Here is a 25,591-nt window from a genome sequence, read left to right on the forward strand (position 1 = left end):
GATACTGAAAAGAATGCTTGCTCTCTGTGTACTCCTATGTCTAGTAACCAGTGGTTGTCTGGAGGATGTTAACCTCCTCACGTTTCCACCCTGTGCTTCCACCAGCATGACTGAGTAGTCGGCTGTGAGTGTTCCACAGCCTGGCTGTCAAGAGCCCTGGGGCAGATGTGAGAGACACCTAGTGCAGCTGAAGTGAGGTGCTGTGGGATACTCCTCAGCATAGGTGGTTGCCATAGCTACAGCCTGGGTAAAATGGTGAGCTGAGAAAACAGGAGGAAGGGCATAAAAAATGTTAGACTGTAGACATCTAGAAAGTTTGACAGGAGATATTTATGGACCTTATAATCAGAGTGTCTTCCTATTGCAATGGTCCATTTCCCTCCTTGCAATAATCCTTTTGAATAAAGTCTCTCTACAGTAAGAAAGTTCAACAGCAACTGATTAATCTTCCTAATGTTTTCTCTTTCTCATTTAAGTCTGAGATTTATTACAAATTCGGTTCTTTTTGTAATTTCTGTTTTAATTATAGTTACAACCCTTTTTTAACTTTCCATATTAACTTTTTTCTCTTTTTTATCTTGGTCAACATTTTTAATTTTGACTATTTTTTTCACCTTTTCAAAGAATCGGTTTGGCTTAGTCGATTCATATAATATATCTTTGTCTTTTATTTTATTAATTTTTCATTTTATATTTAGTATTTTCTTACATATACTTTCTTTTTTTTTTTTTTTTTTTTTTGAGACGGAGTCTCGCTCTGTCGCCCAGGCTGGAGTGCAGTGGCGGGATCTCGGCTCACTGCAAGCTCCACCTCCCGGGTTCACGCCATTCTCCTGCCTCAGCCTCCCAAGTAGCTGGGACTACAGGCGCCCGCCACTACGCCCGGCTAATTTTTTGTATTTTTAGTAGAGACGGGGTTTCACCGTTTTAGCCGGGATGGTCTCGATCTCCTGACCTCGTGATCCGCCCGCCTCTGCCTCCCAAAGTGCTGGGATTACAGGCGTGAGCCACCGCGCCCGGCCTACATATACTTTCTTTAGCATTTATTTTTTAATTCCACTTTCCTGTATTAGATCATTAATTTTCAGCCTTTCATATTTTATATAAACTTTTAAAGTCTTAATTCTCCTTACTTTTATTGCTTTTTCTGTATATCTAGTGAGTTCTGATATGCAATATTTATGCTACTGTTTAGTTCCAAGCATTTAAAAATCTCCTCCAGACTGTCCTGTCCAGGAGTAAAAGTTACGGTAATGCCACAATATCACACATAGGAAGGACAACATTGGCTCTTATGCCTCAGAAATCAACATTTGGACCATTCTGCTAGGTAACGGAAATAATAAAAATAATAAATAATTTATAAGCAAACAAAACAAGCTGACCAGGTGAGGCACTGCTGTGGAGGTTAAAAGGATGTCTGCTGGAGTCACACACTTGAGATTGAACCCAGCTCTTCTGCTTACATTCTATGTGATCCTGGGCAGGCTACATCATATCTCTGATCTGTTTCTTCATTATTAAAATGCAGACAAAAATATTGACCTTTCAGCATTGGTTTCGTTATTAAATAACACTTGCAAAGTACTTAGGTTAGTGTCTAGCACACGAAAGGGGCTCAGCAAATGAAAGCAGTGGTTCACACAGCATATTTGGGATTTCAGAAGTTCCTTTTGTTTTCCTCTGTGCCTTTTACTCATGTCTAATTAGACCATGAAAACAGACTTTGCTTCTTTCTTATGTGTTAGGAATTTTTCAAAGCATTTTGCATTCTTGAACCCATTTAATCCCTTAAAATGAAACCCAGTAAAGGGCACATATTCTGTACTAGGAAATCCTAACTGATTTTGATTAACTTACCAGCTAAAGCAAACTGTGTCTGTGGGGAAATGAGGAGGTTGCCCCAAAGGACTACAATGATAGGCTTTGGCTTGTTGCTTTTGGGATGTTCCTAGCACAAAGGAATAAAAATACAGTTTGAGCAAGAAGCTATAATGGGTGGCTCACCACTGGTAAAAGCTAGCCAAGAGGAAGAGCACTCAGGATGCCTGCTAGCCTTCCAAAGTATCTGTGATCTCTTGCTACCCTCTAGGGCTGTGATGTAGAATTGCAGGACCGAGAGAAAAGGGCTTCACCTGAGGGAGGCTCCTAAATGCAAAGCTTGGGCATCCAGGGTCTGCGTGAGACACCTCCAAGAAAACGGTGATGAATAAGGAAATTTGTGCCCTGAAGGATTCAGACAGAGCAAGGATATGAAACAAATGCATAAAGTACTTTTACTAACAATAACTGTGCCCCATTTATTGAGTGTTGCCACACGTCAGTCAGTGTCAAAGGCTTTACATGCATGATCTCAACTTTCTGGTGCAACAATGCCATGATTTGGTATGATTATCCTCCTCATCTGAGAGACAAGGACACTGAGGTTCAGAAGGACAAGTTGCTTGGTCAAGGTCACCCAGCTAGCCACTGAAATTCAAACCCAGTTGTCCAAATCCAGAGCTCATGCCTATACAATGCTTTGGGCACTGAGGTGGGAAATCCCACAGAGGCTTAGGGTACGCTCATGCACCTTTCTGAAGGAGATGGTATATGAACTGGGCTTTGAAGAATAGGTACTGGGGGATGAATACCAAAAGAAGATGGAGCAGAGCCCCAGAGGGAACTGAGTTAGGCCTAGATGGGGTTGGAGGGACACTGTGGGTGTGACTGGAATTAATGGTTTAGTTTGTTGGAGCTCAGGAAGCCAAGGGAGATAAAATAGAGATGCAGGCTGACCTTGATAATATTTTGTATCCACTACGTCCTTCCATAATTCTTTTGCAATAGGCATAAGGGAGCTGAAAATCAAGTAAGTGGATGATTTCCAGCCCATGTGGAAAGACAGATCCTGCCAGCCTCATGCTTACTCTTACTGGACAGCAGGGCAGCACCAGATTGTTCAAGAACTCTGAGGGGCAGCAGTGGGATAACAGGATGAAGTTCATGTTAAAATGCAGTAGGACTGGTCTGAGGCAGAAGCACTGCTAGGGAGACAGGCATCAGGAGAAAGTCCTCTGGCAAGAGGCCATGTGGCTACAGTGACCCTCTCCTCTGGATCTCACATGGGCATCTATGGTCTAACAGAGTTGAATGTGCTTAGATGGACAAAAACATACTTTTTAAATTGATGCACTTTTCCAGAAAAACCATGATGTACAATACATGGCAAAGAGATCTGCATTTGTCATGAGTAAGTAGATCATAGCTACCTTACTAAACACTAGTTTCTTCTTGACTAAGTTTAGAATATACATTTATAATATACATGTGTATCCTGCTCCCCTCGCTGGGTTCTGATAAGGATCCCAGGTAAGGGAGAAGACAGGAGCCTCAAAAATTGCCTTGGTTCTACAAAATGGGAGAAAATTTTTGCAACCTACTCATCTGAAAAAGGGCTAATATCCAGAATCTACAATGAACTCAAACAAATTTACAAGAAAAAAACAAACAACCCCATCAAAAAGTGGGCAAAGGACATGAACAGACACTTCTCAAAAGAAGACATTTATGCAGCCAAAAAACACATGAAAAAATGCTCATCATCACTGGCCATCAGAGAAATGCAAATCAAAACCACAATGAGATACCATCTCACACCAGTTAGAATGGCAATCATTAAAAAGTCAGGAAACAACAGATGCTGGAGAGGATGTGGAGAAATAGGAACACTTTTACACTGTTGGTGGGACTGTAAACTAGTTCAACCATTGTGGAAGTCAGTATGGCGATTCCTCAGGGATCTAGAACTAGAAATACCATTTGACCCAGACGTCCCGTTACTGGGTATATACCCAAAGGACTATAAATCATGCTGCTATAAAGACACATGCACACGTATGTTTATTGCGGCACTATTCACAATAGCAAAGACTTGGAACCAAGACAAATGTCCAACAATGATAAACTGGATTAAGAAAATGTGGCACATATACACCATGGAATACTATGCAGCCATAAAAAATGATGAGTTCATGTCCTTTGTAGGGACATGGATGAAATTGGAAATCATCATTCTCAGTAAACTATCGCAAGAACAAAAAACCAAACACCACATATTCTCACTCATATGTGGGAATTGAACAATGAGATCACATGGACACAGGAAGGGGAACATCACACTCTGGGGACTGTTGTGGGGTTGGGGGAGGGGGGAGGGATAGCATTGGGAAATATACCTAATGCAAGATGACGAGTTAGTGGGTGCAGCGCACCAGCGTGGCACGTGTATACATATGTAACTAACCTGCACAATGTGCACATGTACCCTAAAACTTAAAGTATAATAATAAAAGAAAAAAAGGAAAAAAAAATTGCCTTGGTTCAGCCTAACTTCCAGGAGCAATCAGAGCAACATTTCTCAAACAAAACTCAGATCAAGTCACTACAAGCTCAGATCTCTCCACAGCCCCCATACCCTGGGGGAGTGGTCCCTGCTTGGCTTTGGGAAGTCCCTGCTCTTCATCCACCCTGCTGTAGTCATACAGTCCTTGCTGAACACACCAAGACCTGCCTGTCTTAGGGCCTTTGCACTTGCTCTTCCTCTGCCTTTGTCCTCAGACCTTTGTGTGACCATATCCCATCATTCAGGCCCTGCTTCTGTGTCTTTGTTTCACAGAGTCCTTGTTGACCATCCTAGTTAAACATTACCACATCGTAGTTTCTTCATAGCCCTCATTACTCATCTGAAATTACGTTATTTAGTTTTTTGTTACTTGATCGTGTATGTGCTTATCATCTGTTTTTCCCCCACCAGGATGTAAGCTCTGGGAGAAAAAAGACCATGTGGGTTTTATAACATGTACCTTGTGTTCTCTGTGCCTAGAAAGTGCTCAATATGACGTAGTTCCATTTGTCTATTTTCACTTTTGTTGCTTGTGTTTTTGGTGTCATATCCAAAAAATAATTTCAAAGACCAATGTCATGAAGCTTTCCCCTTTGTTTTCTTTCAGGAGTTTTACTCTTTCAGATCTTACATATAAATCCTTAATCTATTTTGAGTTTATATTTGTGTATGGTATAAGATAAGGGCCCAGTTTCATTCTTCTCCATGTGGATATCCAACTCTCCCAATAACATTTATTGAAGAGACTATTCTTTCCCCATCATATATTCTTGACAACCTTGTTGAAGATTGGTTGACCATAGATGTGTGGGTTTATTTCTCGACCCTCCATTCTGTTTCATTGATATATATGTCTGTTTTTATGCCAGTAACACACTTTTAATTACAATAGCTTTGTCATGTATTTTGAAGCCAGGAAGTGTGATGCCTCCAGCTTTGTTCTTTTTTCCAAGGAATGTGTTGGCTAGTTGGGGTGTTTTGTGATTCCATATAAATTTTAGGACTATTTTTCCTATATCTGTAAAAAATGCCATTGGGATCTTGATAGGTATTGCAATGAATCTGTAGATTGCTTTGTGCAGTATGAACATTTTAACAATATTGTCTTACAATCCGTGAACACAGATGTCTTTCCATTTATTTTTTGTGTGCTTTATTATTTCATCAAATTAAAAAGCTTACGCACAGCAAAGGAAACAATCAACAGAGAAAAGGCAACTTACAGAATGAGAAAAAAAATTTGCAAACAATATATCTGATAAGGGGTTAATATCAAAAATATATCAGGAACTCTTACAACTCAATAGCAAAAATAATAATAACTTTATTTAAAAATTGGTAAAGAACCTGAGTAGACATGCAAATGGCCAATAGGTATACAAAAAGATGCTCAACATTAATAATCATCAGAAAAATGCAAATCAAAACCACAACAAAATATCACCTAGCACCCGTTATTTTCTTTTTTTTAAATCAATCTTGCCAATAAACAACTTTATTTTGGTTTTTACATTCATTTATAATACATTTACAATTTACTTACATTTACATTCAGGTCACATCCATAAATGTAAAAATGTAATTTTCATAAGCCATCATCTTACTTTTGACACTTTTATGGTTTTTTCCATATAGACTGTTTAGCTGTATATTCTTTTTTTATCTTTTGTATTTTTTGAAAGCAAAAACACGTTAAATTTTACAAAAATTATTTAATCTATATTACTCTATTGAGTGAATTATAAATTTACTTTTAAATAGTTTTTGGTAATTATACATACGATTTTTGTATTTTGTTTGACATTTACATTAAAAGAACAAATGGATGCTAAATGCTCAAGCTAAAAATCTCTACCTTAAAATATCAACCTTGTACTGCATTATCAATTTGTTTTTCTCTGTGTGACAGAAATATTAGCTGCCTTACAAGAATCTTTCTTCCTTTCTCTTTTATTAATAGAATATTGGTTTTGTTTAGGAAGTAAATGTATCCACTTAAAAATACTCATCAAGCCAGATTCCATTCTATCTAGTGGTAGTCATGTGAGGCAGTTCCAGTGGTAGAAGCCTATCAAGTAAGACATTTGCAGGAGCTATTATTTCCTAATATAAGATGAACAGACTTCACTGGCATGTGATTTTTGTTCTCACCAATCCCTTTCTTCTGCCCTAAGCACATGCTTGGATATGAAGAAGTTCATTGCCTATGAGAGGTAGGGGGACTGTCCACTTGCTAAAGGTGGCAGAGCAGGAAGCTAGAATAAACTTGGTCCTTCATGATTTCCTTGAGCAACTACAAGGAAGGACTTCCTATATCCTAACTTTCTGTAACATGATGAAAATAAAATCCTTGTTTAGTTGGATTTCTATTACATGTAAACAAAATGCAATACTGGCTGATAGCACTGGTTTCTTGCCCAGATCACTCTGATCTTTAAAAAGTTACATACATAAAACAATCAAAATATAAATATATATCTTTCCATGATATGATTTTAGATAACTAAGCACTTCAAATTTGTAAAGTTACTTTGATTTCATATAGCAAAGAAGAACCCATGCTTCCTCCGTTTTTTCTGACTCAAAAAATAAAGGTTAGAAATCATTTTATGTCACAATTAAGGATAAAATCCTTCTGAATATTTTTATTGTGTTATAAGGCACAAGCTTTAATTACACTACTAGATTTGTCTCTTTTCAAATGAGCATATGCTTCTTTAATTTCTGCATTCAAGCTCTCCTTGAATATAGAATACCAATTACATAAAATAATTGTGTGAACTCTTACAAGGCTCATTATTTTTCTGTTTTCATAATATTCTTATACTCATTAATAAGTGCAATGAAATGTTCTAAATCATATATTTCAAACATTACTAAATAATTATCTCCATAGGTTCACATTTATTTCTTCTCAAGAGTTATTTTTGTTGCTGTAAATTAAATAAAATATAAAACATTTCAATGATCAAAGAATAATCAAAAGAACCTTGCTTAGTGGAAGTAATGAACACAAATTTATAGGTAGCCTCAAAAATTGTTATTCAAACAGATTTCTTTAAATCTTCACAACTCACAAAAATCATGTCAGCATTTGGTAGGCTTATATCTCTTTAAGTCTTACTCCATTTGTGTTGCCATCCATTCATACCTCTTCACAATGATTTTCTCCAATTATCTCCTCATTTATGACATTTTCAGTCTCTTTCTCTTTCTAATCAATTATTTTCTAAAAAAAAAAAAAAGATAAGCGTTGACAAGAATGCAGAAAAATTGAAACCCTTGTACACCATTGGTAAAAATGTAAAACGGTGCAGCCACTGTATAAAACAATATGAAGATTCCTCAAAAAATTAAACATAGAACCACCATATGATCTAGCAATCCCCCTTCTGGGCTTATAGCAAGAATTTAAGCCAAGATCTCAAAGAGATGTCTGCACTCCCATGTTCATTGTGGCATTACTCACAATAGCCAAATGTGGGAACAACCTAAAATCTCCATCAATAGATGAATGGATAAAGAAAATGTGGCATAAACATACAATAGAATATTATTTACTCTCTAAAAAAGAAGGAAATCCTGTAATATGTTATAACATAGAGGAAACTTGAAGACATTATAAGTGAAATAAGCCAATCACAGAAGGGCAAATACTGCATGACTCCACTTATATAAAGTATCTAAAATAGTCAAGCTCATAGAAGCAATAGAAACAAACAGCAGAATGGTGGTTGCTAGGAGCTGGGGTGGGGGAAATAAGGAGTCGCTGCTTAACAGGTATAAAGTTTCGATTATGCAAGATGAACAAGTGCTAGAAATCTACTGTACAGCATAATGTCTGTGGTTAACAATAGTACATTGGGTACTTGAAAAATTGTTAAAAGGGTAGATCTCGTGTTAAGTAATCTTACCTCAATGAAAGAAAAAAGAAGGTGGCCAGTGCATGGTAGGCACTCAGTCAGTATTTGTTTCTGACTAATACCCAACTCTCTGTGAACTGAGTTTTCCACATGTCGTGTGTGCTTGTAGCTCTCACTTCTCCCCACCTGACTGGCCTCACAAAGACCTTTGAGATGTAGCAAGAGGACCAGGCCCCATCCTGCAGTTTATGAGCCTAGAAATCAGTCAGTGCCTTAGGCCAATTTCTGGGCACTCCCCACAGATGCCAAATTCTCAGCCTCTTTTGGATGATGATGAAATAATAGAATGGTTTGCTAGAGCATTAGGTATGGGTGGAGAGGAACATGTGGAAAGAAAAGACTTTCCTGAGGCAGAGGGATGGGTAAAGTCATCCCCCAAATCAAGGAACACTTAGGGAAAAAGGGAGGGTGTCCTTGACTTCAACTCACCATGTCACCATTGAGGAGACAAGACTTAGCAGGAGTTACCCCCTCCAGGAAGCCTTTGGCAATGTCACCTAGCTGGTTTATATCCCTTACCTGCTATAACAACCTCTAAATTACTCTATCATAGCATTTACTATATATGATTGAAATCATTTGCTTAGTCTGTTATCTACTTTAGATTCTGACTTATAGAGCAAAAACTTAAGTCTTATGTATCTCTGAATTTTCAGTGCATAGTTCAGTGCCTGAAACATAGCAGGTCTCACTACTCATTGAGTGAATCGATTTTTTGAAGTACATCTAGCTGAGCCCTCTGTTTCCATATCACTCTTTTCCCACAGTCCTGAAGTGGACTTACCATGCAAATAGCCATTCTATGTTGTTGGCATTCAAGACCACACCCCTGCATAGACCCATGGGCCAGCTGTGAGAACAAGTTCTTGAGTAGCCACACAACAAAAGGAGGAGCCCAGAGAGGCAAATCCGGGACTTGAGTCATGAAGGTGGCATTCTTTTTATAGCCTTCCTTGAAGAGAAACAGACTTAGCTGTAAACACAGAAAAGTCTTCACACACCCAAGCCTGTAAGTATGCATGTGAGGGGGCTGGTGTGTGTGTGTGTGTGCATGTGTGTGTGTGTGTGTGTTTTGCATATGTGTTTGTCACATGTGTGTGTGATGTATGTGTGCATAGTATGAGGTAGGGGTGTGTGTGTGTGTGCATAGGTGCACCTCTTCTGGGATAGAGAGTAAAGAAGCTGTTGCCTATATGACTATCTCCTTCACCCCAGCCTCCCATAACCTTCTATATGGACCATTCATTCAACAAATATTGATCATGTTTAGCCCCATATTAGTTTGAGCTTGCTACTATTGAAACTACTGTTTCACCTTCCCCAAAACAAAATTCCCCTCAGCTGCTGGTCTCATTCATTGAGATCAGCATGACTTGACTTCTGGAACATTTCTGGGACCTTATTTGGGCCTGGCTCTGTGTTAGTCTTGGGGAGGACATTTGTGGTCTGTCCTCAAGGGTTTAACACTATTGGGGTTAACAAATCATATACCCAAATGTCTCAAGAACCAAGAATATTCTACATATCCTAGTAGATCTGGGAAAGGCTATGGAAGTGAGAGAGTCTCTATTTAGGCAGATACATTCCTTGCAGATGAGAAAAGCTTCATGGAGAAGATGCTGTCTGATTTTGTGTTTCAATATCATTTTTTTTTCTTTTTGGATCTGTGAGAAACTCAGAATATCAGACGCTGTTCATTTAAAATGGAGGTAGCTGACATCTCATTATGTTCCCAGCCCTTCTTCTGGCATCCACGCTTCATTTCCAAGAGCACTAACATGTTTCTTAACTTATCTTTGACCTCCTGGCCAGACAGTACTCCTGTTTGCTCTTTGTCTATCGCTCTAGGCTCTGCTGCCTCTGGGAAACTCCAACCACAGCCCTGTTCCAGCCTGTGAGGTTTCCTCCACTCACATCCTTCCCACCCTAGACCATATCCAAATGACCTCCCCAGCTGCTCCCATCGCTAGTAGGGCTTTCTTATCGACCTCCTTAAGGTCCTCAGCCTGAGGTCCTCAGCCAGAGGTCAGCTCTACTCTCTTCTTCCTGGACCTACCGTGATGATGGAAGAAAACAGAACAATTTGTGAGTGCACCCCTGGCTATCCCCAGTTCATTCACTCCAACTTTCCAGAATTCCATTCTTTTGTGAGCAGATTTTTGAGGTCTCTTCCTCTTCTCAGAGAGTATTATTCCTCTGTCTATAGCCTGATTCTCAATAGAAACCTAGAATTCTATATTTCCATAAAAAATGAGCTCCCCCATTGGCTTGCTTTCATTTTATTCAGCTAGATTCCAGCAGCTTGAGGACAGGATCTTTTTACATGGCTTCCATTTGCATGGCACCTGATTCTGTGCTTAGATACATGGTAGGTGCTCAACAAATACCCAGGAGGTGCATTTTGTTTATTCCCCCAGTGCCTAGCAAAGGACACGGCGCACGAAGAAAGCCCCCTACATAGAAGATAGTAGTGGGGACGAACTGAGTGTGTGTGTGTGTGTGTGTGTGTGTGTGTGTAGGTGTGTAGCTGACTATAGAGAGACCCACCCTCACAGAACCTTGCTATGACCCAGAATTCCAGACACAGAGCCTAATCTCTCTTCCTGGAAGCAAGCATGATACCTGCTTGTCTGGGTTCCACACACCCACTTGCCTGTATTGTCCTGGCTGAAGGGTGTGCATGGAAAAGGAGGAGGAAAAAGGGAGGGAGCCACCACTGCCTCCTTCTACTCAGCCCCAGTTTCACTGCTAAGAGCAGAGAGAAGTTAGCCAGAAGCCAGGAGCCATGGGTAGTGGGACCAAAGGCTCCTGGGACCCACACCTGGGATCCTCTCTCCCATGCTTTGTAGCATTGTCTTGTTTCATGCCTATGAGAGACCAAACCCCAGCTCTTATGTCTGATTATTTACTGCCCAAAATGGAATTATATTTCAAATTGCTTATTTCATGTGTTTCTCCTAATTTTCTCAGGAACCAGGAAGCAAGACTGTATTTTAACATTGTAAGGTTGCATTTTAGGTCATCAGACCTAAATCTAGCAGGAGGTATGTGGTCCTCCCGAATGCTCCTGAGGAAACAGAGACCTGAGCTCAACTGGTCTCTCCCAGGTCAGAGAATATACAAGAAGATGCCCTATAGGACATCTATAGGACATCCTATAGATCTATATGTGCTATCATTTGGGACTTATCTATGACTGTGACTCTTTTCAGGCCATTGAATATCCTTCCTCCTCTGTCACTGGAGCTTAGCAGAATGTCATCTTGATTGGAGGAGGAGCTGTCTCATAAATGCTTTTTAAGATAAGTAACTAGTAGGCAACCCCAGAGCTGGGGTGAAAAGTGGAGTCCTAGAGGAAGAAGGCAGGTGCAGCTCATCTGACTTACTCCTGCTCCCCACCCTGGACACTCACAAGTACAAGCGCTCAAATGCCTTTGGCCTCCAGCTTAAACTAACCTGATGCACTGAAGTCTAAGGGCTTATTGCTCCCTCTTCAAAGGAGACTCACTGGAGGTTAAGTTATCTCTTTTAAGGAAATCAGGAGGGGAGCAGGGCCAGATTAGATGACGACTATCCTGTCCTTTGAGTGACGGGAGATAAAACCAAAGCTCCAGTGGTCTTATTGGGAGATCTAATGTCACCAAGACACTCCTTATGTTCTCTGCACCTGTCTTTTTCCATTTAGAATCACAGGCTTCTCCTCAGAAACCCTTGTGTCTGTATTCCAGGGATAGGGGAGCCACCCATAACAAAAAGGGAAACAACAATAACCATCTAGAAGGAAAAGGTTTTGGAGAAACTGGAAGCTCATCTACCTCCTTCGAACATTCTAAGTTTGCATCCTCTGGCTTCTCATCCAGTGGCCAGCAAGGCCCAGGTGGGCTTTCAGGGATGTCCAGCAGCAAGATTATGTGAGCAAAGAATTCAGGCTACCTTCTGGGAATGACAAGCAGGTCCTTATTGATGGGGCGTAAAGCCTGAACCAGGGAGTGCTAAGATCAGGCAGGAGAGGTAGGCAAGCCATATCCTAACAGAATCCAGACTTTATTCTGTAGGTAGAGGAAATGAGGGGCCTTTGAGAGATTCTGTGTTGGAGAATGACGTGGTCTCATTTACATTTGAAAATTTTTACTTTGACATTTCAGACTTAGAGAAACGTTTCAAGACTAATATAAAGATTCTTTAACACCTTTCACACAGATTCAGCCAGACTCCTAAGTGTTGATCTTTCTCTCTCTCTCCCTCTGTATATGAATTTACATGTACAGATACATGTATATATCATGTGTATATCAAACACATGTAATATAGATTTTATATATATATATATGTTTTCTTTTCTTTTTTGTTTTTTTTATTTTTTATTTTATTATTATTATACTTTAAGTTTTAGGGTACATGTGCACAATGTGCAGGTTAGTTACATATGTATACATGTGCCATGCTGGTGTGCTGCACACATTAACTCGTCATTTAGCATTGGGTATATCTCCTAATGCTATCCCTTCCCCCTCCCCCCACCCCACAACAGTCCCCAGAGTGTGATGTTCCCCTTCCTGTGTCCATGTGTTCTCATTGTTCAATTCCCACGTGTTCTCATTGTTCAATTCCCACCTATGAGTGAGAATATGCAGTGTTTGGTTTTTTGTTCTTGCAATAGTTTACAGAGAATGATGATTTCCAACTTCATCCATGTCCCTACAAAGGACATGAACTCATCATTTTTTATGGCTGCATAGTATTCCATGGTGTATATGTGCCACATTTTCTTAATCCAGTCTATCATTGTTGGACATTTGGGTTGGTTCCAAGTCTTTGCTATTGTGAATAGTGCTGCAATAAACATACGTGTGCATATGTCTTTATAGCAGCATGATTTATAGTCCTTTGGGTATATACCCAGCAATGGGATGGCTGGGTCAAATGGTATTTCTAGTTCTAAATCCCTGAGGAATCGCCACACTGACTTCCACAATGGTTGAACTAGTTTACAGTCCCTCCAACAGTGTAAAAGTGTTCCTATTTCTCCACATCCTCTCCAGCACCTGTTGTTTCCTGACTTTTTAATGATTGCCATTCTAACTGGTGTGAGATGGTATCTCATTGTGGTTTTGATTTGCATTTCTCTGATGGCCAGTGATGGTGAGCATTTTTTCATGTGTTTTTTGGCTGCATAAATGTCTTCTTTTGAAAAGTGTCTGTTCATGTCCTTCACCCACTTTTTGATGGGGTTGTTTGGTTTTTTCTTGTAAATTTGTTTGAGTTCATTGTAGATTCTGGATATTAGCCCTTTGTCAGATGAGTAGGTTGCGAAAATTTTCTCCCATTTTGTAGGTTTCCTGTTCACTCTGATGGTAGTTTCTTTTGCTGTGCAGAAGCTCTTTAGTTTAATTAGATCCCATTTGTCAATTTTGGCTTTTGTTGCCATTGCTTTTGGTGTTTTAGACATGAAGTCCTTGCCCATGCCTATGTCCTGAATGGTAATGCCTAGGTTTTCCTCTAGGGTTTTTATGGTTTTAGGTCTAACGTTTAAGTCTTTAATACATCTTGAATTAATTTTTGTATAAGGTGTAAGGAAGGGATCCAGTTTCAGCTTTCTACTTATGGCTAGCCAGTTTTCCCAGCACCATTTATTAAATAGGGAATCCTTTCCCCATTGCTTGTTTTTGTCAGGTTTGTCAAAGATCAGATAGTTGTAGATATGCGGCATTATTTCTGAGGGCTCTGTTCTGTTCCATTGATCTATATCTCTGTTTTGGTACCAGTACCATGCTGTTTTGGTTACTGTAGCCTTGTAGTATAGTTTGAAGTCAGGTAGCATGATGTCTCCAGCTTTGTTCTTTTGGCTTAGGATTGACTTGGCAATGTGGGCTCTTTTTTGGTTCCATATGAACTTTAAAGTAGTCTTTTCCAATTCTGTGAAGAAAGTCATTGGTAGCTTGATGGGGATGGCATTGAATCTATAAATTACGTTGGGCAGCATGGCCATTTTCACGATATTCATTCTTCCTACCCATGAGCATGGAATGTTCTTCCATTTGTTTGTATCCTCTTTTATTTCGTTGAGCAGCAGTTTGTAGTTCTCCTTGAAGAGGTCCTTCACATCCCTTGTAAGTTGGATTCCTAGGTATTTTATTCTCTTTGAAGCAATTGTGAATGGGAGTTCACTCATGATTTGGCTCTCTGTTTGTCTGTTATTGGTGTATAAGAATGCTTGTGATTTTTGTACATTGATTTTGTATCCTGAGACTTTGCAGAAGTTGCTTATCAGCTTAAGGAAATTTTGGGCTGAGACAATGGGGTTTTCTAGATATACAATCATGTCGTCTGCAAACAGGGACAATTTGACTTCCTCTTTTCCTAATTGAATACACTTTACTTCCTTCTCCTGCCTAATTGCCCTGGCCAGAACTTCCAACACTATGTTGAGTAGGAGTGGTGAGAGAGGGCATCACTGTCTTGTACCTACAAAGAGACTTAGACTCCCACACTATAATAATGGGAGACTTTAACACCGCACTGTCGACATTAGAAAGATCAATGAGACAGAAAGTTAACAAGGATACCCAGGAATTGAACTCAGCTGTGCACCAAGCGGACCTGATATACATTTTTTTCAGCACCACACCACACCTATTCCAAAATTGACCACATAGTTGGAAGTAAAGCTCTCCTCAGCAAATGTTATAATTTCAGAACAGAAATTATAACAAACTGTCTCTCAGACCACAGTGCAATCAAACTAGAACTCCGGATTAAGAAACTCACTCAAAACCACTCAACTACATGGAAACTGAACAACCTGCTCCTGAATGACTACTGGGTAGATAACGAAATGAAGGCAGAAATAAAGATGTTCTTTGAAACCAACGAGAACAAAAACACAACATACCAGAATCTCTGGGACACATTCAAAACAGTGTGTAGAGGGAAATTTATAGCACTAAATGCCCACAAGAGAAAGCAGGAAAGATCTAAAATTGAAACCCTAACATCCCAATTAAAAGAACTAGAAAAGCAAGAGCAAACACATTCAAAAGCTAGCAGAAGGCAAGAAATAACTAAAATCAGAGCAGAACTGAAGGAAATAGAGACACAAAAAACCCTTCAAAAAATTAATGACTCCAGGAGCTGGTTTTTTGAAAGGATCAACAAAACTGATAGACGGCTAGCAAGACTAATAAAGAAGAAAAGAGAGAAGAATCAAATAGACGCAATAAAAAATGATAAAGGGGATATCACCACCGATCCCACAGAAATACAAATTACCATCAGAGAATACTACAAACACCTCTACGCAAATAAACTAGAAAATCTAGAAGAAATGGATAAATTCCTGGACACATACACCCTCCCAAGACTAAACCAGGAAGAAGTTGAATCTCTGAATAGACCAATAACAGGCTCTGAAATTGTGGCAATAATCAATAGCTTACCAACAAAAAGAGTCCAGGACCAGATGGATTCACAGCCGAATTCTACCAGAGGTACAAGGAGGAACTGGTACCATTCCTTCTGAAACTATTCCAATCAGTAGAAAAAGAGAGAATCCTCCCTAACTCATTTTATGAGGCCAGCATCATCCTGATACCAAAGCTGGGTGGAGACACAACCAAAAAAGAGAATTTTAGACCAATATCCTTGATGAACATTGATGCAAAAATCCTCAATAAAATACTGGCAAACTGAATCCAGCAGCACATCAAAAAGCTTATCCACCATGATCAAGTGGGCTTCATCCCTGGGATGCAAGGCTGTTTCAATATACGCAAATCAATAAATGTAATCCAGCATATAAACAGAATCAAAGACAAAAACCACATGATTATCTCAATAGATGCAGAAAAGGCCTTTGACAAAATTCAACAACGCTTCATGCTAAAAACTCTCAATAAATTAGGTATTGATGGGACATATCTCAAAATAATAAGAGCTATCTATGACAAACCCACAGCCAATATCATAGTGAATGGGCGAAAACTGGAAGCATTCCCTTTGAATACTGGTATATGTTTTCTTTTCTTTTCCTGAACATTTTGAGAGTAAACTGAAGATATGATGCCCCTTTGCCCCTAAATATTTCAGTGTATATTTCCTAAAAACAAGAAATTATCTTATGTTTGCCTTTTAAAACAATCATTTTGGCTTCTATGTAGAAGAGAGTTTGCAGAGAGAGAGACTGTAGACAAGGGGATGGGCAAGGGACCTCTTCAGCAGTGAAGGCAAGAGCTGGTAAAGCCAGGACAGCCTAGGGCAGTGACCTAGAGATGGGTCAATGGGACTTGGCAAGTGGATGTAGTTAGAGGTAGTTCCCAGCTGCTGCCAGGGCTGCCAGGAGGATGGTAGGTGTGGCGAGAGCAGGGGGAAGGGATGAGAAGTTCAGTCCTGGACATGCTGAAATCAATGAGCCTTTGAAACACTAGATAAAGGTTTTTAAAATAAATGTATTTATTTTTAAATTGACAAATAATTACATACACATATTTATTAATTTATGGGGTGTAATATATGTTTGCATAGATCAAAACATCATTGTGCCCTAAACGGAGATATTGAGGCAGCAACTGGATATATGGTGGATCTGAAGGACAAGGTAGAGGCCCAGCCTGGGGATCTAGGGATAAAAAGTTGCTGGTCCTTCGAGGAAAGGTGGCATTTCACACCATGGGCATGAAAGAGATCACCACAGAAAGCAGGAGCCTCCTGGAGGCAGAACTGCAGAATTTCAGTCCTTCAGGGACTTCATTCCATAGCATGAGGCCATACAGGATGAGGGTATGTCTTGGTCTGCTGGGGCATCAAAGTACCCCGGTACTCCTCTCTCACGATGGTCAAGTCACTGGGTCTGGGCATGGTAAAGCCAGGTGGCTGTGGGGGCCATGGAGATGAACTGCTCCTGACCCACGACTAAAGGCTCCCTAGGAGTCGGTAAGAGAGTGGGTGATATGAAAGAGTTAATCCTCCAGGATCTGAGAGACTGGGCAAAGGCAGAGGAGGCATGAGCCGGACTGGGTTCTGTCTCAGTGAAGTCACCATGCAGGCCACAGCATGTCTCCCAGGCTGAGAGGGATGGACCAGAGCTTCACACTGTGTCCTGGAGAGTCTGGGAGGAGTCGGGAGGGATGGGGTGTGGCTGCTATGATAAGCCTGGTCCTGCCACCTCTGCAAAGGCCTGGCTTTTAGGAACAGGGATGCCAGGAGGGGAGAATTTCCAGCTGAGATTCTGACATCACCCAAAGTCCTCATTTGTTTGGTTGGTTGGTTGGCTTTGGGTTTCGGTCAAGCCCTCTCTATGGCATCTTATAAAATGTGACCTCAAGTAAGTCATTTCTCTTTTTTCATTCACCTATTCCATATTTGTTAGTGATTAGGCTTGAGAGACCACATTAGTGGTTCTTAGGTGTTTGGGTTTCACTAAACCTAAATTTTAAAAAAAATAGTCAATAAGGAACAACTCTTTATTTTGCCAAGTAAGGGCAAAGGCCCTTTGTAACAACCATCACTTTACAAAATAAAGATAATTTTAGTACTAGTAACTGTGAAAAGAATATAGCATCAAAAAATAAACAAAAGACCTTCCAAAGAAATAAAAGCCACTAATCTTATACCAACTGCTATAAAATAACCTTATACCAACTGCTCAGAGGAGAAGTCAGCCTCTGAGATGGGGCTGGTGTTGGCAGCAAGGCACTGGGGAAGACAGGAAAGGCCCCCAGACTGTGGACCCCTGTGGGCAGAAACATTTCTCATTTCTCTGTGGCTTGTTGAGAATGTCATCCGGTGTTGGCACAGTGCTTGGGTTGAGAGTTGGGAATGTTTTTTTCCTGATTACTGGGCTCCTTCCAGCTCTGGCACCTGTTAGTCCAGGGCACTCTGTGGTCCTTGACCGACAGACCAGTCCTCTGCCTCTGCTACCAGGGCAGAGGACTGGACCTTCTGGGGCCTAAAGCTTCTTTGCTTATGCTTCTGTCATTTATTTTCTAGTGCTTGGCACAAATCTGGTGCCCAGCAGGTGACATCCCTGACATCACTCCCTCCTCTCCAGCTGCCCTGCTGCTTCTCCTGGGTATTCTGCTCTGTCAGACACAATGTGTGTAAGCAAATGTCTTTTTTTTCCCTCCTCTCAGGCCTAATATCTGTATGCCCCATTTTTGTCACTTAGAATCATGAGGTCCCCTTGCCTCCTCCTTCCCTTTCCTTCCTTCCTCTCAGTCCTCCAGTCCTGGGTTTTCTCATTTCAAGTCATTCTTAAGCCTGTCTTCCCTCCCCACTTCTATTGCTGCCATCCTAGGTGAGGGCCCTATCATTTCTTCCCTCCCAACTGGTCTCCCTGCCTCCATCTCGTGCATCCTCACTCCTACCCCACCTCACCCTGAGTTCCACTGTCAAATCCATCCCCAGAATACTTTCAGTCTTGTCCCTCCTTTGGGAAAATTATACTGTGCTCAAACCTGGCACAGACCTTGGGGATGATTCTCTTTACAGAATAGAAAACCTGAGCCCCGGAGAGTGGAAACCAACCATCCAAAAGCACACAATTACCGGCCAAGCTAGAAGCTAGAACACCCAGGCCTTCTAAATATACACTAGTGCCTGTCCACCTCCTTATTATAATCAATAGAATTTTGAAAACTATACATTATACTATACATTATAACATTGGTAGAAGATTCCACCCTAAAGGTAACCTCTGCACTGTTTAGAAACAGGACCCAGCCTCCCACCCTGCAATTTCAGCTCTCCTGGCTAGTCTAGAGTGCAAGGCCTTCGCTGGGGTCTGGTCTCATGTCCACTGCCCAGTGCTCATCACCACTGCTCAGCCACTACACTCATGTTGACTTCTTCTTTTTCCAGACACACAAAGCATCTTTCTACCCTCAAACAGTTTCTCAGACCATTCTTTCATTAATTTCACAGAAAACAATTTAGCTTCAATTCTGAACCATAGTTTTGCTAGGTGCTAGGATACAAAGATGAAGTCAGTGTTTCTTCCCACAAAGGGCCCACAGTTAAGGGTCATTTTCTGTCTTCCCCAGTGCCTTTCTGCCAACATCAGGCCCATCTCAGAGGCTGACCTCTCCTCTGAGCTCCTTCACCACCCTTGTTCCATATCACCCCTCAGGTCCTGGCTCACAATGCTGGCTGCCAGCACCAGCTCCTCTGTCATAGCTGGTCTGGCCTTATTTCCCCAAGAAGATCATGAGCTCTGAGAGGGTTGGCTCTATGTGTCACACAGCTCCCCATCCCCCACAGGACTTGGCGTGGGGTTTGCCTCCTGCACATGTGCTGAGTGACTGGAACACTGCTAAGCTCTTGCCCTTACCCTCTGCCCAGATAGGTCCTGGTCTTTCTCAGGTTGGATGTTCTGCAAGTGCCCAGAACTAGAAGCCAAGCGAGTGGGTGTCTATTCACAAGTCAGAGGCATCCTGGGGGGCAGGGCCACCCACCCCTGCCCCTAGTATACACCTCCATCCCTGCCACCTCACCATCAAGTTCATGTTTATGAAAGTGAAATAAGGAGGAGATGAACTCCTAAGAAAATCTGAAGAGGAAAATGATGTCCTCAAGAGCCATGTTGTGCCTTAGCCATATGGGAGCAACGCAGATGTGGGAAGTCATTTCCCGGCAGATAGGAACCTATGGTAGGTGGTATGTTCACATGTTTTGAGAATTGACAGAAGAGGCCGGGCATGGTGGCTTATGCCTATAATCTCAGCACTTTGTGAGGCCGAGGCAGGCATATCATTGGAGGTCAGGAGTTTGAGACCAACCTGGCCAACTTGGCGAATCCTCATCTCTACTGAAAATGCAAAAATTAGCCGGGTGTGCCAGGCATGATGGCACATGCCTGTAATCCCAGCTACTTGGGAGGCTGAGGCAGGAGAATTGCTTGAACCCGGGAGGCAGAGGTTGCAATGAGCCGAGATCGTGCCACTGCACTCCAGCCTGGGCAACGGAGTGAGACTCTGTCAAAAAAAAAAAAAATTGGCAGAAGATACCACCTTCCATCTCATCAACTTTACTGCATGCTGGCCTTATGCCCCCATAAATACTTGGGGCCAGAGTATAGGAAAGACCCCTGTGTTTATGTGTAAATGTGCATGCATGTGTGTGTGTGTGTGTGTGTGTGTGTGTGTGCGTGTGTGTGTGTGTGTGTGTGTGTGTGTGTGTGTGTGAGTCAGGATTGAAGAAAGAGAAAGACAGAGAGCAATGCTAATGAAGGTCAGTGGTTAATACCATTCCAAAACCTGGGATAAGTAATTGGGTTTCTTAGTGGCTTCTAGATTACCCATTCATTTTCTGTCCTCTGGTGTCAGAAGCAGTTCTGTGTTATACATTCTTGAGGTAGCTGACTCCACCACACTCACACACAAACACAAAAAAACCTGTCCTAGGTGGTTGGGGCACATACAAAAAATAATTAACAGGATTTAACACCCCAAGCCCCACAAATTAGCTGATGTTCACACTTTCTTCAGCCATGTAGGCATCATTCCAGTGACATGTGGGTTTGATTTCTTTGGTTAATACAAACCTAACAATTGAAAAGTATCTGTAAGAGTTGGAAGTAAGAAGGTAAGAGGACGTGACACAGTTTTAGTGCCCCTTCCCATCTACAAAGGCCTGATTCACAAGGACAGACTTGCCAAGCCAGGCTTCCCTCTGTCCTGTTGCCTTGGAAACAGCAAGGGCCTGGCCATCCTTGCTTCCCCCTGCATCCCCAGCATGGACATAGTGCCTGGCACATGGAACAATTGCATCTTAATGAATAAATGGTTAGCCCAGGATAACAACTCCACATAGTCTTTCTTCTCTGCTATTAGGGACCTGAGCTGAAATCCCTCTCTCAGGCTTTCTGGGGCTGCTTCTGTCTGAGTGATACCAGCTTGAAGGGATTCTCCTCCTGGGAAGGGCTGGACTCCTCTGGCCCTCCTTAGTTACTAGCCCGTGCACATCTTGTGATCCCAGAGAGTCAGGACCATGGTTTAAGAGAGAGAACATCGGTTTCCACACCTGTGTCTTCTAGTGATGCAGCATGACTCCCCAAGGTCTTGGGATGTTCTAAGGCTTTTATTAAATAGTGGAACCATGGCTAAATTTCATGGCTGAGATTTAAAATGTGCCATCTTCAGGACTAGCTTGCCTATTTCCATTTCTCTCACTCAAAAGTCTTTTTTAATGTATTTTTAGGGGAAAAGTAAAAATTATATATATGTACAGTGTACAATGTGATGTTTTGATATATGAATATATTGTGGGATGACTAAATCAAGCTATTTAATACATGTATTACCTCACATATGTATCATTTTTGTGTGGCGAAAACACTTAAAATCTACTCATTTAGCAATTTTCATGTCACATATTGTTATTAACTATAGTCAACATGACTTCCAGTGGATTCCTTGAACTTATTCCTCCTGTCTCTTTCAACCAAGAGCTTATGACACTGGGTGGCAAGTGCCACTACTTGCCTCCAACTTTTTTCAACTTCCTATTCCATATTTCTAAGAGTGTGTCTTGCCCTAGTATTCAAAGCCCATCTCCATGGAGCACCCAACGACTGTTGACCATGCATTTTGTGCCAAACACTTGCACATACTTTAAATAAGTTGTCCATTTTAATCCTTACAACTGACATGCAGAATGGTGCTGTTACCCTCTTTAGCAGGTGAGAAAATTGAAGTGCAAAAACATCTGGTTCCTAAGGTCACCCAACTGGTAAAAGGCAGAGCCTCAGTCTGAGCACCACTTGGGAATTTTTTAAAGATGAGCTCCATCCTTTGCCAGGTATGGGAAGCATCCAAGTCTGTATCCCGTGCCACCCTTCTTTGTCCTGGAACTTCTAACAGAAGTTAGGAGGAAGAGCCAGGACTGGGGCCCCAGGAGCTCAGAACCCAGAATCCAGTCACTGTGACTCCTCCATGAGCTCACTCTAATGCAATGCTTCTTAGCTTCCCCCACCCCCTCCACCTTATGATAATCATTTCCCTGGGAACCCTGGAGTCATATGGATATGTGATATATGTAGGGAGATTTAGAGATAAGCACTATCTACTGTAACCAACCAGTTTCCCCGAATGGGGCCTAACGATTTTCCCAATAGCAGAACAGACAGAGAGTGGCAGCTGCCATTTCTTGTATAAATAACAATAGGTAAAAAATGAAAGCCTCTTGTCTTGTCTTCCCACCAGTTCAAGCTGAATGTGACTCTGAGCCTAGGTCAAGTCAAAGTCACAACTTTGCTGAGGGTGGTGGGTTTCCAAGAGAGCCATCTGCCCCCTCAGCTGTTTTCTTATGTTACCTGCATAAGCTGCCTGTCCCATCCCCTCCTCTCTGCCAACCAGAACATCCCAGAACACTGCCCTCACACCCCCACACCCAGCATGGTCGGAATGCTTGCTTGGGACCATCCTAGATGCCAGGGATCTAAGTCAAAAGTCATGAGTGGGTTTGGAAATCCAAGGAAGCCAGTCCTCGTAAAATGATGGGGAGATGAGGCAAGGGGAGGGTGAAGGCACTGTCATCTCCAAATCCCGCCATACCAGCCCTGGGGGTGAGTAAAACTTAAAATTTGAGGAAGGACAGGTGGATCCTATTGTGACTAGGGACTAATTAGGACACCCCAATCCTGGGCCACCTCATGGCCTCAGGCAGGGATGAGAGGTATATAAAAGGTAGATAGGCTCAGAGCATCCCAAACCCCTCCACACCTATCTGCTCCAGTCGCTGGTGAACCTTGGTAAGTCTGGAAAGGTAGTACCTCTTATAGCAGCCTTGCCTTGCCTGCATCCCTAACCAACTATGGACTGGGCTGATTCTCTGGGTGGTGGTCAGAAAGGATGGGTCTTTTGGGGTACCTCTTTTTTCCATATCATTTGTGACAAACCTATCTTGGGTCCAGCAAGTTATCCAGCAGAGTAGTGTGGGAGGCTGGGCTGAGCAGGGAGAAGGAGGGGGGTATCTACAAGAGGGTCAGTATCTCAGCGATGCTGCTGGCATGGTGTGGGTGTTGCATCTTGTCAGGTGCTAAGAGGGAATTAGTAGGAGAGGAGAGACCAGTTCTGGGCAGAGCAACTGGAAGGACTGTCCTTTCAAAGAAAAGAGAAGGCAGGAAGGAAAGAGAACAGACTCCCTTGGGACAGCAGAGTTGTGGATGTCCATGGAGCAAAGGGCTGCAGGGACAAGACGATGTGGCACCATGGAAGGCTCTGCTCTGGGAATCAGGAGACCTCTTTTCCCACCATCTATGCCGAGTGGCTTTGAAGCCATTCCTTCCCTCTGAGGTTTGCTTTCCTCAACTGTAATTGAGAGAGGCAAGCTAGATAGTCCATTTCATCTATCTCTAGAGTTTTCTCTTTATAAACTCCTTTAGAGAGTGGTTAAGATGCGCCTTTTAAATTGTTTATGAATTTACTTAACAAATTACAACTCTTATATAGTGTTCATTTTGTGCTACTACTCTGCATGTGTGTGTCGGTACATACATACCTACGTATGCATGCATATTTTAAGTATGTATTTTATATACTCATTTAATTTTTGCACCAACTCTAAGAGAGGTAAGTATGGAAAACCTTAGTTGCTCAAAATCATATAGTTAATAAATGATTTAGCCAGAACTCAGATCCCAGGCAATTTATTCCAGATGCCACAGGTTTTGCTATAATAGGATACAACAGTCTGCTCTTTCATTCTTCCTCTTTTTTTTCCTCTCTCTCCCTTTTCTTTTTTTATGTTTTTCTTTCTTTTCAACCCCTCCTAACATTTCTGTTTTCCCTCCCTTCCTCCTTTCCTATCTTTCCTTCCTTCCATGTTTCTTTGTCTTGAAAAGAGTTGAAATAACTTGTAAACACTTAAAGTTTACACATGCGCGCGCGCACACACACACACACACTCCTCTTAAATCTGTGAAGGGATCAGGGCAAGGTAAAAGCAGAGCAGGACAGGAATGTGGCAGGGGGTTCACCTGGGCTTAGGGTCTCTCTATGGCTCAAGTGTTCCTCATTTCTGTGTCTTTCTGTTTCCAGTTGCAAGTCCAGCCCAGAATGTCTCAGCAGAAGCAGAAGCAGTGTGCTCCCCCGCAGCAGTGCTGCCCCCCACCCCAGCAGCGCTGCCCCCCACCCCAGCAGTGCTGCCCCCCGCCTCAACAGTGCTGCCCCCCACCCCAGCAGTGCTGCCCGCCGCCTCAACAATGCTGCCCCCCTCCCCAGCAGTGCTGTCCCCCACCCCAGCAGTGCTGCCCTCCACCTCAGCAGTACTGCCCCCCACCCCAACAGACCAAGCAGCCTTGCCAGCCCCCACCCAAGTGCCAGGAGCCCTGTGCCCCCAAGTGCCCACCCCCTCAGCAGTGCCAGACGTCCAAGCAGAAGTAAGCCCTGGGCATGTGATCAGAGGCGAACCCCCAGGAAAAACAGAGCATGAAGTTCCTTCTGGGCCAGCATCTTACACTCCACAGGCCAAGCAAAGCCCTGCTCACCAGTGCTTCTGGATGCAGCCACACTTCACACTTGCAGGAGAGGCAGCACCAGGCTGGCAGCTGGCGGCTTCCTCGAGCTCTACTCTTCTTAATTAGCAGCTGCAGTTTCCATCTCAGACAAGGATCTGGTTCTAAACTATCTAATCATCTTTCCTGACATGCATCTACATTGCCCTGCTGGAAACATGAGCGGCATGCACAGGCATCTTCTCCTACCACGCTTCCCCTCAGCTCCTGTTTTCAAACAATTAAAACAGAATTCCTCTGGCATGAATGTCTTGGTCTGATGATTTTGTTGTTTGAAAATGTAGCATTTCTGCAGTTTTTTTTTTTTTTTTTTTTTTTTGACGGAGTCTCGCTCTGTTGCCCAGGCTGGAGTGCAGTGGCGCGATCTCGGCTCACTGCTATCTCCGCCTCCCGGGTTCACGCCATTCTCCTGCCTCAGCCTCCCAAGTAGCTGGGACTACAGGCGCCCACCACCACGCCCAGCTAATTTTTTTGTATTTTTAGTAGAGACGGGGTTGCACTGTGTTAGCCGGGATGGTCTCGATCTCCTGACCTCGTGATCCGCCTGCCTCGGCCTCCCAAAGTGCTGGGATTACAGGCGTGAATCACCGCGCCCCACCGCATTTCTGCAGATTTTTTTATCCTGCCCCCAACCCAAAACTTAAGCAGAGCCAAGTGTGGGATGCAGGTGCAGGAGAAGGCACGGGGAGGAGCCTTCTGAGATGCCCAGACATTTACAAGGCTCGTACCAGGAAAAGAGGTGGGGACTTCTGCAACACAGACGCACACCACATTCAC

At 42.4% G+C, this 25,591-nt stretch overlaps 1 protein-coding gene and 1 long non-coding RNA gene across 2 annotated transcripts, besides 2 other annotated features; one reads left to right on the top strand and one right to left on the bottom strand.

Annotated features, from left to right (window-relative positions):
- Positions 2,038-2,087: a silencer, noted in NCBI's record as "silent region_1335". NCBI's record gives its function as "represses an Ori minimal core promoter by ATAC-STARR-seq in GM12878 lymphoblastoid cells {active_cell/tissue: GM12878}" and the evidence as "EXISTENCE:reporter gene assay evidence [ECO:0000049][PMID:35858748]".
- Positions 2,098-2,177: a silencer, noted in NCBI's record as "silent region_1336". NCBI's record gives its function as "represses an Ori minimal core promoter by ATAC-STARR-seq in GM12878 lymphoblastoid cells {active_cell/tissue: GM12878}" and the evidence as "EXISTENCE:reporter gene assay evidence [ECO:0000049][PMID:35858748]".
- LINC01527 (long intergenic non-protein coding RNA 1527) lies at positions 5,683-25,012 on the bottom strand. Its single transcript, NR_183723.1, has 2 exons — positions 24,788-25,012; positions 5,683-7,613 (listed from the first exon to the last, which is right to left on the bottom strand). It is a non-coding gene; the product is annotated as a long intergenic non-protein coding RNA 1527 (long non-coding RNA).
- On the top strand, positions 23,008-25,057 carry SPRR5 (small proline rich protein 5). Its single transcript, NM_001395435.1, has 2 exons — positions 23,008-23,050; positions 24,339-25,057. Exon 2 carries the CDS (start codon positions 24,357-24,359, stop codon positions 24,681-24,683), a length of 327 nt encoding a protein of 108 aa, NP_001382364.1. The 5' UTR covers positions 23,008-23,050; positions 24,339-24,356; the 3' UTR covers positions 24,684-25,057.
- The last annotated feature ends 534 nt before the right edge of the window (positions 25,058-25,591 follow it).

Source organism: Homo sapiens, chromosome 1, assembly GCF_000001405.40.
Source record: "Homo sapiens chromosome 1, GRCh38.p14 Primary Assembly".
Lineage (NCBI taxonomy): Eukaryota > Metazoa > Chordata > Mammalia > Primates > Hominidae > Homo > Homo sapiens.